This window comes from Homo sapiens, chromosome 6 (assembly GCF_000001405.40).
Source record: "Homo sapiens chromosome 6, GRCh38.p14 Primary Assembly".
NCBI classification, from domain to species: domain Eukaryota; kingdom Metazoa; phylum Chordata; class Mammalia; order Primates; family Hominidae; genus Homo; species Homo sapiens.
The window spans coordinates 4,717,567-4,734,332 of record NC_000006.12 but is presented as its reverse complement, the minus strand read 5'-3'; the positions used below and the strand labels follow the sequence as shown (position 1 = coordinate 4,734,332).

Sequence of the window (16,766 nt, the reverse complement as noted above, 5' to 3'; positions counted from 1 at the left end):
GAGATGACCCAGTATGCATCAGACAACAGTGCCCTGGAGAGACCCTCAAAGGTCTCTTGAGCCCACACAAGGGGACCCTCCCAGAGAGAGAGTTTGACTGTCAGGACAGCTGCATGACTTACATAAAGGCACCTTTCCCCTAGTCCTTTCCCCTCCCTTCCCGACAACGCCAGAGGGGAAACAGCAGAGAGAGGGCTGGGCGTGGTGGCTCATGCCTGTAATCCCAGCACTTTGGGAGGCTGAGACGGATGGATCACCTGAGGCCAGGAATTCGAGACCAGCCTGGCCAACATGGTGAAACCCCATCTCTACTAAAAAATACAAAAATTAGCCATCACCTGTAATCCTAGCTACTTGGGTGGCTGAGGCAGGAGAATAGCTTGAACCCAGGAAGCAGAGGTTGCAGTGACACGAGATTGTGCCATTGCACTCCAACCTGGGTAACAGAGTGAGACTCTGTCTCAAGAAAAAAAAAAAAAAAGAAGAAGAAAAGAAAAGAAAAAGAAAAAGAAACTGCAGAGAGAGAGGAGAAGAGGAGTAAAATGCAGAAAGAGCAAACAGCCCACCTTCCAGAACAGGGACTGCAAGCCTGGCCTTAGGTGGACGGGAAAAGCCTTTAAACGAATATAAAATTAATCTTTGCCTTCACTTACTGAAATTTTCATACCTGAGATGGAGTCTTAATGACCAGAATGAAGTTTCTCTTAAAACTGAGTGACTAAAAGGCTGTCTGTTCAGCACAAGGAGTAAGGAAGGGGACAAAAGTTTGGAGATTTGGAGCCAGAGGTTGAAAAAAGTATTTCATGGTGTACACCAAACAATTTAGACTAGTCTTGTGTAATATTTATCCATTTGATCTCTGTCTTTTTAAAAACACATAACCACTCACTTTTTTCTTTTTTTTTTTTTTACTTTATCTGAGTCACATACATTTTTACGGTTTCATTTTTTTAAAAACATGTAACTTTTTAATCCAACTGGAATTGATTTTGCCATGCTGTGGCGGAACAGGGACATGGCTTTTACCCTGAGGTTAGGATTGCAATGTGTCCAGGAAAGCCCTGGATTGTCACTGCATGCCTACCTGGGGGGTTTCAGTGAAGAGTCACTGACATTCCTCTTGAAACTTGCAGGGCTCTGCTTGATCATCATCAGGCAGGCTACTGCTCAGGCCCTGGGGAAGGAGAGGAAAGCACAGCAGCTGAGTCACCGGGAGGGAGACACTCATGTGTATAGGGAATCTGTACCCAGAGCTGCGAGGGAACGTGCTTCCTGGCTCTGGGCCACACAGGCTGAACGGCAGTGGGAGGCTGACTGCCTTAGGTGGCTGAAGCAGAATGCTGAGGAATAGGATGGATTTGCTGACGTTTCTTGGAGGATCCGAAGTAGCTTTCACTGTTCCGCTCTCTCCCACTCTGCAGCGCCGCAGGGACTCCTCACCACCTCTGTTGTCCCTGTTCAGCCAAATACTCCATCTAATCCTCCTATCTCTGCCTGTCTTCCAGGCCGCTATCTTTTCTTTCATTTTCCTTTTCAAACTTGAATCTGTTTTCCTCCCTTTCATTTGCTTATCTATTGCTTTCTCCTTGTTTTTTCTTATTACCTTTTTTCCCCTCAAAATTGAAGGGATACTGAGAATTCCCCCCCAATCCCCCCCTCTTTTTTTTTAAAAAACAGGATCTCTCTCTGTTGCCCAGGCTGCAGTGCAGTGGTGCAACCAGAGCTCATTTGCTGCCTCAACCTCCCAGGCTCCAGCAAGCCTCCCACCTCAGCCTCCTGAGTAGCTATGACTGCAGGCATTCACCACTATGCCCAGTGAATTTTTTATTTTTTAATGTTTTTGTAGAGATGGGGTCTTGCTATGTTGCTCAGGCTGGTCTTGAATTTCTTGCCTCAAGTGATCCTCCAGCCTCTGCCTCCCAATGTGCTGGGATTACAGGCATAAGCCGCAGTGCCCAGACATTTCTTCCCATTAAATTAAATTAATTAATTAATTTAGAGACAGGGTCTGGCTCTGTTGCCCAGGCTGGGGTGCGGTGGCACAATCAGAGCTCACTACATTTGCAATCTCTGGGGCTCAAGCAATCCTCCCGCCTCAGCCTCCTGAGTAGCTGGAACTACAAGCATGCACCATCATGCTTAGCTAATTTTTGTACTTTTTGTAGAGACAGGATCTTGCTATGTTGCCCAGGCCAGTCCCAAACTCCTTGGCTCAAGTGATCCTCCTGTCTCAGCCTCCCAGAGTGCTGGGATTACAGGGATGGACCACCATGCCCAGTCATTTTTTCCTATTTTAAATCAACTCTACATATTACTTTTAAATTATCACATATTTAAAATTTGTATTTCACACATACAAGAGAATATATTATAAAATAAAATGACCTCATGTAATTGACACCGAAAAGAAATAAAACATTACCATCTTCCCCCTCCTTCCACAGATTACTAGTCCCTTGAATTTTCTTGCATATTAATTTTTGCAGGAGGCAATGATTTCTTTTTTTTTTTTGAGACAGAGTCTTTCTCTGTCACTCAGGCTGGAGTGCAGTGGTGCGATGTTGGCTCACTGCAACCTGCATCTCGGCTCACTGCAACCTCTGCCTCTGGGGTTCAAGTGATTCTCCTGCCTCAGTCTCCTGAGTAGCTGGGATTACAGGTGCATGCCACCGCATCTGGCTAATTATTGTATTTTTAATAGAGATGGGGTTTCACTATGTTGGCCAGGCGCTGGTCTCGAACTCCTGACCTCAAGTGATCTGCCTACCTCAGCCTCCCAAAATGCTGGGATTACAGGCATGAGCCACCATGCCCGGCCAGGAGGCAACATTTCAAGACATGTTTTTTGGATCCATAATGGAAGGGGATGAGACACAGAGGGAGCCAGGGGCACCTGACATAGACCCTGGAATTCTTACCATTTGAATTAGATCATGATAGCCCCTTTAAAAGGCATGCTGGCTATTTAGGTAGTTTAATACACTAGCACCCTTTAATACTGTAAGAAGGATTTATGTCTTAACTACTCATAAAGATGAAAATAGGTTGGGAGATCCATGATTTATGTGAACACTTCATGTGAAAAAACCTGGAGGCTTCAGTTAGCTACGAGATTTATATAAGCTGAAGGTGTTAAGTGGTCTTGAAAAAGACAAATACAATCGTACAATGTATTACCAGAAGTGTAACGTTCCGGACACAGGAGAAGTCAAGCAATGGAGTATTCGCACTAGTCAGGATAGCACACTCAATGCTGAGCATCGTTACGGAATGAGCAAAGGAATACCTGCACTTGTTCCAGGCCCAGACGTTGAAAACATGCAAAGAAGCAGCAAACAACAGTGGACCGGTAATCTCATCATTCCAAACAACCACTTTTAACTTTTTTTGGAAATATTTTTCCAGGATATTTGCTAAATAGGTGTTAAAAACTAAGAGGGAGAGCAAGGCGGAATGTGTGCAGAGGAAAGTCACCAGAACGGGGTGGTGAGTGAGGCATGGAATTGCAACTGTGTAAAGAGCTATGTCAGGCGAGGGAGGGAGGCCAACTCTTCTGTGTTGTTTCAGAGAATACTATTGGAATCACAGAGATAGGGAGGACCCTGCAAGGGGATGCTGAAAGAGGTATGTTCTTTTTTTTTTTTTTTTTTTTTTTTTTGAGATGGAATTTCGCTCTTGTTGCCCAGGCTGGAGTACAATGGCGCAATCTCGGCTCACTGCAACCTCCGCCTCCTGGGTTCAAGCGATTCTTCTGCCTCAGCCTCCTGAGTAGCTGGGATTATAGGCATGCACCAGCACGCCAGGCTAATTTTGTATTTTTAGTAGAGACGGGGTTTCACCATGTTGGTCAGGCTGGTCTTGAACTCCTGACCTTGTGATCTGCTCGCCTCAGCCTCCCAAAGTGCTGGGATCACAGGCATGAGCCACCGTGCCTGGCCAGTCTTCACATTTCCTTGACTCTTCACTCTGCTTCTGTAGGAGAACTCAGCTTAGCTCATGAACAAGACTTTAAAATGGACTTGCTGAGCAGGAAGACATTTGGTGCCAGTACTGGAACCGTTACGCTTTGCCTCCAAAGAATTTCCTTCCCTCACTTGGAAGCATGTAAATGACATTACCTAATTATAGAATCTCAGAAAAACACAGAATTAAGTCTCCATGGTTGCTTCTGTAGTTTACCCCCAGCAAAGGTTTGTAATCTCAGGCTGGTTTCACTGTGCCACCCAGAACCCACCTTTATCATTTTCCAGACTACCAGTGGTTGGAGACACTTGTTCTGGTAATATCTCCAGCAAAGCCTCATCAGAAAAAATATATTTCTTATAAGAAAATTGTCTGATCCTTTCAGAATAGAAAAGCTTTTGGGTTTTTGGATGTTTCAAGGTACCTGTACTATTGTCTCTACCTTTTTTTTTGAGACACAGTCTCACTTTATGGCCCAGGCTGGAGTGTAGTAGCGTGATCGTGGCTCACTGCAACCTCCACTTCCCAGGCCCAAGTGATTCTCCCACCTCAGCCTCCTGAGTAGCTGGGACCACATACATGCACCACCATGCACAGCTAATTTTTGTATTTTTTGTAGAGACAGGATTTCACCCTGTTGCCCAGGCAGGTCTCAAACTCCTGACCTCAAGTGATCCACCCGCCTTGGCCTCCCAAAGTGCTGGGATTACAGACATGAGCCACCATGCCCAGCCTCCACCTTTTAATCCTAATCAAAATGTGATTTGGTCATTGTTTTTTTTAGATGATGGATTTCTAATTACTTAAGGAATGGGCCTTCTGCATGTGAGCATGTGAGGACTTCTCGGATCCATGCCTAGGTGTGACAAATATTCTCTTCTCTAAAGCAATGTATAACCTGGGAGTAATCCCAGTTGGTCTGGGCTTTAGATTTGCCAGAGGTCTGAGAAGGTATCAAGGTCTAGAAATGTGGATGTGGCTTTTGCATGCTCAGTCGACTTGTTGATTCTGGTGTGTGTATATGCACGCAAAGTTTCAGAGAAAATAGATCGGAAAAAGGCTTGAAAACAGCCTGAGCAAAAACAGGCTGTAGGGCCTCTTTAGGACCTTGCCGGATGCCAGCACAAGGGATAGTCTGTTTGGGGGAATTTCAGGGGTGGAAAAAAGATGCTACAGAGCTGGGTTTGTGTGTTTGGAGAAGAGGGAATTTTATCCCACTCTGTTGTTGACCTGCTGACTCTGTGCTGTAATTGATGAGTTTCTGTGCCTGACTACCACACTGGGCTGAGTAGGCAGAGAGAAGACATTAAATAAGGGTTAAGTTGAATTGGTTTGATCCTAAGAGGGAGACTGGGACCTGGGAGGAAAGATCTTTGGGAAGGCATGTGCTGGGACTGGGCTTGGGAAGTAGAACCCAGACCAGCCTGAAGCCTGGGTACACCCTGGTATGTACTAAATTAGTGGAATGGCATGGAACTGTGCAAATAGTTAAAGCTGGATTGTAGAGAAGTCATTGTTCCACTTCAGATGGCCAACTGACCTTGAGAACCGGAGTGGGCACAATATGGCAAAGTGCACAGAAAGGGCTCTGAGCCCATGACATCGCTTTGAAGGATGACACTTTCTGATCTCTTTACAACCAAAAGCAGAAAGCTACCCTGGTCACTGAAGCCCTCTGTCCAGGGGCTTGCTGGAATTCCTCGACAAGTGTCCAGTAAAATGGACTTCCTTTCCCTTTAATAAGCAAGAGTCCAAGATTCCTCATCAGGTGTGCAGGGGAATCTGTCCTTTCTGGGGACCTCTGAAGAGTTTAATTAACTGATTTCTCAGTGCCTGGCTTTCATCATCTTTTCCATTTTTCAGTTCAGCCACTAGTGTTCAGGACCTGGAAGCAATAATTGGAAATGTTCTAGAAGCAAGCGGGACGGAAGAGGAAGCCCATGCAAGGATGGGGGAGTGAAGAGGAGGAACCTGAGGCTGAAGAGCCACATGCAGCAGGGAAGCCCACACTGGGGATAGAGGCTTGGGAATGCCCTGGCACAGGCAGTGGCCTCAGGGGTGGTGGCTTCAGGGGTGAGCCCGAGGCAAAGTCCTCCTAAGCAGCCAGTCAATTGGCTCAGATGTGGATCAGCCTACGGCTAATCATCCACAAGCAAGCTTAATTTTGCTGGGTGTGACCAGAGATAAAAGAAGTAACAGTCCCAGTCATTTCATGGGAGCGGAGTGATAACACTCTGAAGAGAAACTGTTTAGTTGAAGAAAGAGTCCTTAAAAAGGAAAAAAAATAAGCAAATTCTGAAGCATGGGTTAACTATCAAATGGGCACTTGTAGGTCGTCTCAGTTGTAAACCCTCTAACCAACAAATGGCTTCTGTCGACAGCAAGGAGCTTGCTGCAATAATCCTGGAGGAGAGGCAGTCACAGGCTCTAAATGTGGAAAATGTTGGTAACCCAGGAGAAAGAGCCAGCAAGACTGAAACCAACCAGTCCTAAACCACAGAAAGAAAAAAGTCAACATACCGTTTGTCACCATGTCACCACCAGCCTTGCTAAAGAGCACTCATTGAGTGCATGAGCCCCCAGGTGGCAGCTGAAATCCTCAGCAAACATGACACTGTATTTTATCACGGTGGCATCCCACCCCAAAGGGCAGCTGGAAGCGGTTTGTCAGGGAAAATTCAAGAAACAGAATCCATATCTACTCAGGGCTTATGCTAAACACAGCATCAAATAGAGGTAGTTGAGAAATTTAATTTCATTTGGTGGAGGGAGGGGGTGGGTGGGAGGCAGGGGATAGTGACTGAACAGAGAGAGGGAGGGAGAAAAGAAAGCTTTGAATAAACAATCAATACTTGGCTGGACTTGTGTGAAGAGAGATGACTTGGTAGTTTTCCTCCTTGTTCTGTCCTAACTCATGCTCCTTACAACAGATGGGCTTGAGCCTGTGGAAGGCTGTGTTGCAAATCCACCCTATGTATGGACAGAAAACCTGTTTTACAGTGTTTGAGAGGAGTTCTTAAGTTCCTCTGCATACATCCATGAGCTTCCTACCCTTCTTCCTCACCTGAATGTATGACACTTTTGGACAAACTGTCATTACTTATTGATTTAGATTACATCAAAGAGGTTGAAAGGAAGAAACCCACACTTCTCTGGAAACTCCTGGTTCAATGGAATGTCCTATTCCTTTCACCCCATTCCTTGTGTTGGCAGATAGCTACTTTGTGTCAGGGAAGTGGAGATACATTTGGAGTTTCTGGTTTTGGGGAAAATATATTTTTTAAATTACTAAAATGTAACATTGTTAAACAAAGTGACTAAAACTATGTATTTAAATGTATATATGCACTTAGGGTAAGGTAGAGAGTTTGAGGGTGGGGAGACTAATTTTAGAGCCTACTTAGTGTTAGGTATTTTTGGAAATTATATTATTTAATCCTTACAACAATCAATGAGTCACCCATTATTTCCCACATTTTACAAAGAGAAGAATGGAGTCTCAGACTAACTTGTTTTCCAAAAATCATAAGCACCCTTCACATGGAGACTTGTCTTTTCATGAGACATTAGCTGCCATGATGATATCATTGTGTGAGGAATTTCTGCAGTTTAATGCTAACAGAATGAAATCTAATTTTATGATACATTTATTCGACTTTTTTTTTTTTTTGAGACAGGTCTCACTCTCTCACCCAGGCTGGACTAGAAGGCAGTGATGCCATCTCAGCTCACTGCAACCACTGTGGGCTCAAGCAATCCTCTCGCCTCAGCCTCCCAAATAGGTGGGACCACAGGTGTGTGCCAGCATATCCAGCTAATTTTTTTTTTTTTTTTTTTTGAGACAGAGTCTCGCCCTGTCCCCTAGGCTGGAGTGCAATGGTGCGATCTTGGCTTACTGCAACGTCTGCCTCCCAGGTTCAAGCAATTCTCCTGCCTCAGCCTCCTGAGTAGCTGGGATTACAGGTGCGTACCACGCCTGGCTAATTTTTGTATTTTTAGTACAGACAGGGTTTCACCATGTTGGTCAGGCTGGTCTGGAACTCCTGACCTTGTGATCCGCCCACCTCGGCCTCCCAAAGTGCTGGGATTATGCGCGAGAGCCGCCACGCCGGCCTAATTTTTTTGTATTTCTTGTAGAGACAAATGTTGCCCAGGCTGGTCTTGAACTCCTGAATTCAAGTTATCTGCCTGTGTACGCCAAAGTGCTGGGATTACAGACATGAGCCACCGTGCCGGGCCCATTTATTAGAATTTTAACCTCTAAATCTTGGATTAATGGTGATGGAAAGAATAAGACATGGGGACCATTTTGGAGCTGACATTCGTGATGATTTCCTGTGATGTTCCTCCTGTAAATTTCAGTCGCCCTTAGCAAGTCAGGAGTTGTAGACAACAGATAAATGCAGTGAAACGCTGCTTGGTAATTTGCTCTTTTGTTTTTGGCTTTGACAAAAATGGACACATTTTGGAAAAGCACAGAGATGCTCACCTTTGATAAGAGTGAGAGGTGACAGCGTGTCCGGAGTTTGTTCACAGCCCTCGCTCGCTCTCGGCGCCTCCTCGGCCTTGGCGCCCACTCTGGCCACGCTTGAGCCCCTCAGCCCGCCGCTGCACTGTGGGAGCCCCTTTCTGGGCTGGCCAAGGCTGGAGCTGCTTCCCTCAGCTTGCGGGAAGGTGTGGAGGGAGAGGCGCGGGCGGAACCGGGGCTGTGCGCGGTGCTTGCAGGCCAGTGCGAGTTCCGGGTGGGCGTGGGCTCGGCGGGCAGGTCCGCCCGCAAGCCCCGGAGGTGCAGGTCCACCAGCAAGCCCCGGGCAGTGAGAGGCCTAGCACCTGGGCCAGCAGCTGCTGTGCTCGACTTCTCGCCGGGCCTTAGCTGCCTCCCCAGGCCTCCCAGCGGGGCAGGGCTCGGGACCTGCAGCCCGCCATGCCTGAGCCTCCCCACCTCGCTGTGGGCTCCTACGCCGCCGGAGCCTCCCCCACGAGCGCCGCCCCCTGCTCCACGGCGCCCAGTCCCATCGGCCACCCAAGGGCTGAGGAGTGTGGGCGCACAGGCGCAGGACTGGCAGGCAGCTCCACCTGCACCCTCGGTGCGGGATCCACTGTGTAAAGCCAGCTGGGCTCCTGATTCTGGTGGGGACTTGGAGAACCTTTATGTCTAGCTAAGGGATTGTAAATACACCAATCAGCACTCTGTATCTAGCTCAAGGTTTGTAAACACACCAATCAGCTAGACACAAACCCTGTGTCTAGCTCAGGGTTTGTGAATGCAGCAATCGACACTCTGTGTCTAGCTAATCTAGCGGGGATGTGGAGAACTTTTGTGTCCAGCTCAGGGATTGTAAAGGCACCAATCAGTACCCTGTCAAAACGGACCAATCAGCTCTCTGTAAAACAGACCAATTGGCTCTCTGTAAAATGGACCAATCAGCAGGATGTGGGTGGGGCCAGGTAAGAGAATAAAAGCAGGCTGCCCGAGCCAGCAGCGGTAATCTGCTGTGGTCTTTTTCCACGGTTTGGAAGCTTTATTTTTTTGCTCTTTGCAATAAATATTGTTGCTGCTAATTCTTTGAGTCCACACTGCTTTTGTGAGTTGTAGCACTCACCCGAAGGTTTGCAGCTTCACTCCTGAAGCCAGTGAGACCACGAACCCAACGAGAGGAACGAAGAATTCCAGACGCGCTGCATTAAGAGCTGTAACACTCACTGCGAAGGTCTGCAGCTTCACTTTTGAAGCCAGCAAGACCACGAACCCATCAGAAGGAAGAAACTCCAAACACATCCGAGCAGCAGAAGGAACAAACTCCGGACACGCTGCCTTTAAGAACTGTGACACTCAGAGCGAGGGTCTGCGGCATCACATTTGAAGTCAGTGAGACCAAGAACCCACCGATTCCGGACGCGAGCAGGTTGCTTCAGGGTATAGACATTTGGCACAGTACTGCAGCATAAACCCATCAAGGTAAGCCCTGACATGTTACACGAAAGACACCCTCACCTTTGGAATTATAAAGAGGGGACAGGCTCGGCATGGTGGCTCACGTCTATAATCCCATCACGTTGGGAGGCCAAGGTGGGTGGATTATATGAAGTCAGGAGTTTGAGACCAGCCGGGCCAACATATAATGAAACCCTGTCTCTACTTAAAAAAAAAAAATACAAAAATTAGCTGGGTGTGATGGCACATGCCTGTGGTCCCAGCTACTTCGGAAGCTGAGGCAGGAGAATCATTTGAACCCAGGAGGTCAAGGTTATAGTGAGCCAAGATCATGCCCCTGCACTCCAGAGCCTGGGTGTCAGAGCAAGACTCTCTCAAACGCGCACAAAAAGTGAGGGGACAGATGCAGGACTCAAACTAGCACAGGTATGTGGGATGAGTAAAATAATTTCACGGATACATAAATCTCTCTTTTAATCCCCAGGGCTCATTCATTCTAACCGAAAGCAGATCAGGAGCCATAAGGAATGAATAACTTGATTTTGATTTAATTCTGCAGGGACCGGTTAGACCTAAACACTCAGTTTTTGGCACTAGTGAGTTGTCTCAGTATGTGCCTAAAATAACGACTTGATGTTTCCCTTAGATTTTTAAGTTGCCAAGAGCAGGGGCCAGGCTTATGTGTTGTTTGTGTGCCTTCAGACTCACTCTGCCCTGCTCTGTGGCTTGGGGTGCTGACAGGCGAGGACTCCATCAACAAGCCCCCTTCCTCTGCCTTGTAGTCAGATTTACCCAGTGGGAGGCACAGTGCTAGTCTGTAGGGTGGAGGAGGGGAGGGCTTGCCGCCTCCTGCTGGGTCGTGGTGAGTTCAGGTTGGACAGCCTCCTCTGCCTTTTCAGGTGCTGGCAGCCCCCACTCTTGCTAGCCCAGGATGCTTCTCTGTTCATTGTTTTCTCTAACTATGCCCACACCTCTGTAAATAGCCTCTTTGTGACACTGTCGTCAGATCGCCCAGTTTGGCTGTACTGTCCGTCTCCTGCCTGGACCCTGACTGATTCCTGCTCAGCACAGTGCAGTCATCCTTGGTATCTGTTGGGGATTGGTTCTAGGACCCTAGGAATACCAAAATCCACAGATGCTCAAGTCCCTGATATAATGGCATAGTCAATGCGTATAAAACTTCATCCTCCTGTGTACTCTAAATCATCGCTAAATTTCTTAATATCTACTGCCATGTAAATGCTATGTAAATAGTTATACTACATGGGTTTTAAATTTGTATTATTTATATTGTTGTATTACTTTTACTGCAGTTTTACCCCCAAATATTTTAGATCCATGGTTGGTTGTATCCATGGATATGGAACCTGTGGGTATGAAGGGCTGCCTGTACTTTATACACAGAAGGCATTCAATAAAGGCTGTTTAATTCAGTTAAAGGGAGTGGTCTTGATGATTTTGATATTTTCATTCAAAGATTGCTTATGCTAGGGTAATCAGTTGCCTCAGTTTGGTCTGTGGGGTGTTCCCAGGACTGTGGGCTTTATTTTATTTTTTGAGACAATGTCTCACTCTTATCACCCAGGCTGGAGTACGGTGGCACGATCTTGGCTCATTGCAACCTCTGCCCCCTGGGTTCAAGCAATTGTCATGCCTCAGCCTCCCGAGTAGCTGGGATTACAGGTATGCACCTGCACATCCAGCTAATTTTTGTATTTTTAGTAGAGATGGAGTTTCACCACGTTGGTCAGGCTGGTCTCAAACTCCTGGCCTCAAGCCATCTACCTGCCATGGCCTCCCAAAGTGCTGGGATTACAGGCATGAGCCACTGTGCCTGGCATGAACTGTGGACTTTAAAACAGTTTTAGTTTTAAAACTGTAGCAGTTCTAGATTAACCAGGATGAGTTGGTCACTGTGGCACGTACTCTTTTTAAAAATCTTTACTTGGTATTTGACGAACATTTTCTTATCTTTCGGAAGATTTCTATAATCATAATTTAATTAGTTTTTGTGTTTTTTTAAATTTTTTCTTTGTTTTCTTGAGACAGGTTCTTGCCAAGTAGCTGAGGCTGGTCTCGAACTCTTTACCTTAAGCCATCCTCCCACCTTGGCCTCCCAAAGTGCTTAATTTTTTTGTTGAGATGGGGTCCTGCTGTGTTGCCCAGGCTGGTTGAACTGGCCTCAAGTGTTCCTCCCCCCATTGGCCTCCCAAAGTACTGGGATTAAAGGTATAAGCTACTGTGCCTGGCCTCTGAAGTTGTTTATTAAAAAATATTTCTCTGGCCGGGCGCAGTGGCTCATGCCTGTAATCCCAACACTTTGGGAGGCTGAGGCATGCGGATCAAAAGGTCAGGAGTTTGAGACCAGCCTGACCAACATGATGAAATCCCGTCTCTACTAAAAATACAAAAATTAGCCAGGCACATGCCTATAATCCCAGCTAGTCAGGAGGCTGAGGCAGGAGAATGGTGTGAACCCGGGAGGTGGAGCTTGCAGTGAGCCGAAATCACGCTACTGCATTTCAGCCTGGGCGACAGAGCAAGACTCCATCTAAAAAAAAAAACCCCAAAAAACAAAAATTCTTAATTATGATAAAGTCTGTGTCTGAAACTATTCAGGTAAATTCCTGTGAAGTGGACAGAGCATGTATTGCCATTTTGTGTCTGTTTGAATCTTTTCACTCTCCAGGGAATTCACCCAAGGAAGTGTGAGACAGCAAGCAGTGACGTGTAAGTGTTTCTTAGGAAGTTCTGGGCCAGGCATGGTGGCTCATGCCTGTAGTCCCAGCACTTTTGGAGGCTGAGGTGGGTGGGTCAGTTGAGGCCAGGAGTGGATAGCAGCCTGGCCAACAGGGCAAAACCATCTCTGCTAAAAATACAAAAATTATCCAAGCGTGGTGGCACACACCTGTAATCCCAGCTACTAGGGAGGCTGAGGCATGAGAATTGCTTGACTCCTGGGAGTCGGAGGTTGCAATGAGCTGAGATCATGCCGCTGCACTCCAGCCTGGGTGACAGTGCAAGACTCTGTCTTAAAAACAAAAATAGAAAAACAACACCCCTCCCCTCCCCTCCCCCAGAAAAGTGCTCTCTTCGGCAGCACACAGGGTAAAATTGGAAAGATACAGAGAAGATTAGCAAAATACATTCAATTTTTTTAAGAAAAAGGAAATAAGAGAAGGACTACGTGCTGCATAGTGAAAAATAAGGTTGTTTGAATGTGGTTTCTAGTTGAAAAAACGCTGTTAGGCAGTTAAAATAATAGTTTATTGTTTCCCTATCCTTCCTGCATATGGTTATCCTGAGAAATAGAAAGATATTGACATATTATGAAAAGCATACTTTAATAGTCTGTGTTACTATTTATTGGTATTTTTTAGCTCCTCAGAGGCAGATCAGCTGGGCAGAGGCAAATCAATTGGAAAGAAAAAGCAGCAATCCCAAACCAAGCTAACATTTTGAGAAAAAATCTTTATTTATGCTGTGGTAATAGTTGGAATAGAGTTCATTTTTACTAGCAATATGTTTATTAAATGATAATATTAACAGCTATCATACTGCTTTAGTAAATAGGCTACCTAGGAGAAGGAAATTTAATTGGGTTAAAAATCGACCATGATCCGAATGCTTTTCAATTCAAGATATTATTTTCCAGCAGGAGAGCTTTTGACTGATCACTCCAGGAAGCCAGAATTTCAAATGTTATCCCTTTACTCCTGCCATTTAATACTAATTTTCTTGATCTACTTCTGCTCCCCAAATCCTTGTTTCCTTCTAGGAGTTGGACAAGTTATTTAAAACAAATTAGTAATATTGGTTGTGGTTAAGTTAGAATTTAATAACTCATTTCAGGCATCTTAGGATGGCTCCCTTTGGTAGTATCTTTACATTTTCTATGGATGAAGTAAATGTTATTCATGGAAATGGTTGTTAATATTATTTTCCAAATATAAGACCTTATAAAGAATGTGAAAGACATTGACCTGAGCATATTACATTTAATTCATTTCAACAAACATTTATTTCATGCCTACTAGGTGTAACTGGATAATAGAAAATCGGATTTCACAACGGAAATGCACTAATCCAAACATCAAACTATTGGAAAGAAAGATCAGTCGTCATTCATTCTGGTTAAGTTTTAAGAATTTTTCAAGACCACATTCCCCTTTTGCTTTGTAACCTTGTGAAATTTGTAAGAATTTTTTGCACTCCTCCTCCCTCCAAAATTTGTAAGGTTTTGACTCAATGTTTACAAGTTTTTTTCCTTCAGAGAAATGTGAGGACATGAAATAAGATCCCAGATTTTCCCAGGAAACTCTTTCTAGCTTCCATGGCTTACCCACATATGCACTTTGCAAGGTTAGTTGGTGAGATTTGCGATTAATAATGCAGTAAAGATTAATGGACTTAATAATTATTGGGTCACAATGTTGATTTGCTATAAGCGTTGAAATGGACTACGGAGAGAAATACAGAGGCCAGAGGAATGTGATTTTGTTGTACACAGTGGGGATAATTTGGTCCAAAGCTGAGTTTTCTTTGCAGGCACAGATAAGTTTTTTTCTGTGTAATGGCCATAGAAGGTATTTTGGGGAAAGTGGCAAGAGATCTTGGAAATGCAAATTCTGGTGACTGTTTCAATGAAGAGATGGTACTCATTAAAGATCAAGAAGATCTCTCATTATAGGTGGGCAGAGTATCTGATTCTAATTCAAAATGACTCATCCTGGGTGCTAATGGTTGACTTTGAAGTCTATCAGCCAAGGATCAACCCCCATCATCGTTCTCCTGTCTTTGTTGTCTTCATTATAGCTTCATTCCTTGGCTCTGGAAGTCATTTTAATCTTCATGAAAATGAGTAATAATTTTAAAAGCTCTAAAAAGTGAATATTCTGTTGATTAGCTAATAGGCAGCTAGTAGGCAGCTTAGGCCTTGCAGGAATGGGGGTCAAGATAGGTGTAGAGCTGGGAAAGAGGTACCACATGATGAGTGGGAAGTACTTAGAGGGGAGGGAAGGTGAGGCCACAGTTTAGATGACGTGATGTTAAATTTAAGGACAATGTGTATTAATACCGTTAACCACATCTTTCGACCTAGTAATCCTACTTCTATAAATGGATAGTAAGGAGAGACACCCAGATACATGCACAAGAGTATACATATGAAGATGTTTATTATCACAGTATTATCTAAAAGCAATTTAAAAGTGGAAATAAACAGCCAGGTGTGGTGGCTTACAGCACTTTGAGAGGCCAAGGCGGGTGGATTACCTGAGGTCAGGAGTTCGAGACCAGCCTGGCCAACATGGCAAAACTCCATCTCTACTAAAAATACAAAAAATTAGCCAGGTGTGGTGGTGCATGCCTGTAGGCCTAGCAACTGGGAAGGCTGAGGCAGGAGAATCGTTTGAACCCAGGAGGTGGAGGTTGCAGTGAGCCGAGATTGTTACATTGCACTCCAGCCTGGGCAACAAGAGCAAAACTCTGTCTGAAAAGAAAGAAAAAAAGAAAAAAAAAAACCAGTGGAAATAACCTGAATGTCTATCAATATAACCTGAATGCCTATCAATAAACTGGAATATCCTGCAGGAATCTAAAATGATAATGTAGATGCATATGTCAAAAAAGGCCATGATACATAATCGAGTGAAAAAGAAAATAACAAAATTACAACATCCAAGTTTTGTTTTTTAAAAAAATGCAAATAAAAGAATCAACACACAAATATTAATTTGCCTTAATTGCATTAATCAAATAGAAAAGTTTGGTACTATAAATGATATTACTTCTGGCTAGTGGGAATCTGGATTAAAAAAAACCTTTTTTATACTTTTCAGATTAAGGAAACCATGGGGGCCGAGCATGGTGGTTCACACCTGTAATCCCAGCACTTTGGAAGGTTGAGGTGAGTGAATCACTTGAGATCAGAAGTTCGAGACCAACTTGGCCAACATGGTGAAACCCTGTGTCTACTTATAATACAAAAATCAGCTGGGCGTCATGGCACACGCTGTAATCCCAGCTACTTGGGAGGCTGAGGTGGGAGAATCATTTGAACCCAGGAGGCAGAGGTTGCAGTGAGCTGAGATCGTGCCACTGCATTCCAGCTTGGGCAACAAAAAACAACCAAACAAACGAAAAACAGAAAAAAACCACCACCACCACCACCAATGACAAAAAACTGGGCATTCTTAAAAATGAGAAAAAATGAAATAATAAATTATTTCCTGGTCTATGGCATAATACATAATCTGTTATTGCAAATGTCTTAGGTATATTCAAAAAGAATGTCTGGGACCTGGTCTAGTGGCTCACACCTATAATCCCAGCACTTTGGGAGGCTGAGGCAGGAGGATTGCTTGAGGCCAGGAGACCAGCCTGGGCAGTATAGTGAGACACCATCTCTACAAAATATAAAATCAGCCGGGTGTGGTGGCATGTGCCTACAATCGCAGCTATCTGGGAGGTTGAGGGAGGAGGATCCCTTGAGCCCAGGGGGTTGAGGCTCTTGTGAGCCGTCCTGAGCCACTGCACTTCAGCCTATGTGATAGAGTGAGACCCTGTCTCAAAAAAGGAAAAAGAAAAAAAAAAATCTAACAGGGTGATGTCTGTGAAGACAATGTAAAAAATAAGAAAACAACAAAAACCAAAAAAACCTAACAAAACAACAAAAATCCCTTTCAATTTTTAATTTTTTTTTTTTTTTTTTTTTTTTTTTTTTTTTTTTTGTGAGGGTCTTTGTTCTGTTGCCTAAGCTTCAGTGCAATGACCTGATCATAGCTCACTGTAGCCGCAAACTCCTGGGCTCAAGTGATGCTTCTGCCTCCCACTTCAGCCTCCTGAGTGTCTGGGACTACAGGCACAT

At 44.8% G+C, this 16,766-nt stretch overlaps 1 protein-coding gene across 1 annotated transcript in view, besides 4 other annotated features; it reads right to left on the bottom strand.

Annotated features, from left to right (window-relative positions):
- The window catches only part of CDYL (chromodomain Y like), a 249,407-nt gene that overhangs the window by 221,212 nt on the left and 11,429 nt on the right, over window positions 1-16,766 (bottom strand). The gene's annotated exons all lie outside the window — the stretch shown is intronic.
- Window positions 537-1,426: an enhancer, noted in NCBI's record as "H3K27ac hESC enhancer chr6:4733141-4734030 (GRCh37/hg19 assembly coordinates)". NCBI's record gives its function as "activates a minimal SCP1, AML or CMV promoter by ChIP-STARR-seq in naive H9 embryonic stem cells {active_cell/tissue: H9 hESC(naive)}" and the evidence as "EXISTENCE:reporter gene assay evidence [ECO:0000049][PMID:30033119]".
- Window positions 1,427-2,317: an enhancer, noted in NCBI's record as "H3K27ac hESC enhancer chr6:4732250-4733140 (GRCh37/hg19 assembly coordinates)". NCBI's record gives its function as "activates a minimal SCP1, AML or CMV promoter by ChIP-STARR-seq in primed H9 embryonic stem cells {active_cell/tissue: H9 hESC(primed)}" and the evidence as "EXISTENCE:reporter gene assay evidence [ECO:0000049][PMID:30033119]".
- Window positions 8,199-8,746: an enhancer, noted in NCBI's record as "H3K27ac-H3K4me1 hESC enhancer chr6:4725821-4726368 (GRCh37/hg19 assembly coordinates)". NCBI's record gives its function as "activates a minimal SCP1, AML or CMV promoter by ChIP-STARR-seq in naive H9 embryonic stem cells {active_cell/tissue: H9 hESC(naive)}" and the evidence as "EXISTENCE:reporter gene assay evidence [ECO:0000049][PMID:30033119]".
- Window positions 14,253-15,064: an enhancer, noted in NCBI's record as "OCT4-NANOG hESC enhancer chr6:4719503-4720314 (GRCh37/hg19 assembly coordinates)". NCBI's record gives its function as "activates a minimal SCP1, AML or CMV promoter by ChIP-STARR-seq in naive H9 embryonic stem cells {active_cell/tissue: H9 hESC(naive)}" and the evidence as "EXISTENCE:reporter gene assay evidence [ECO:0000049][PMID:30033119]".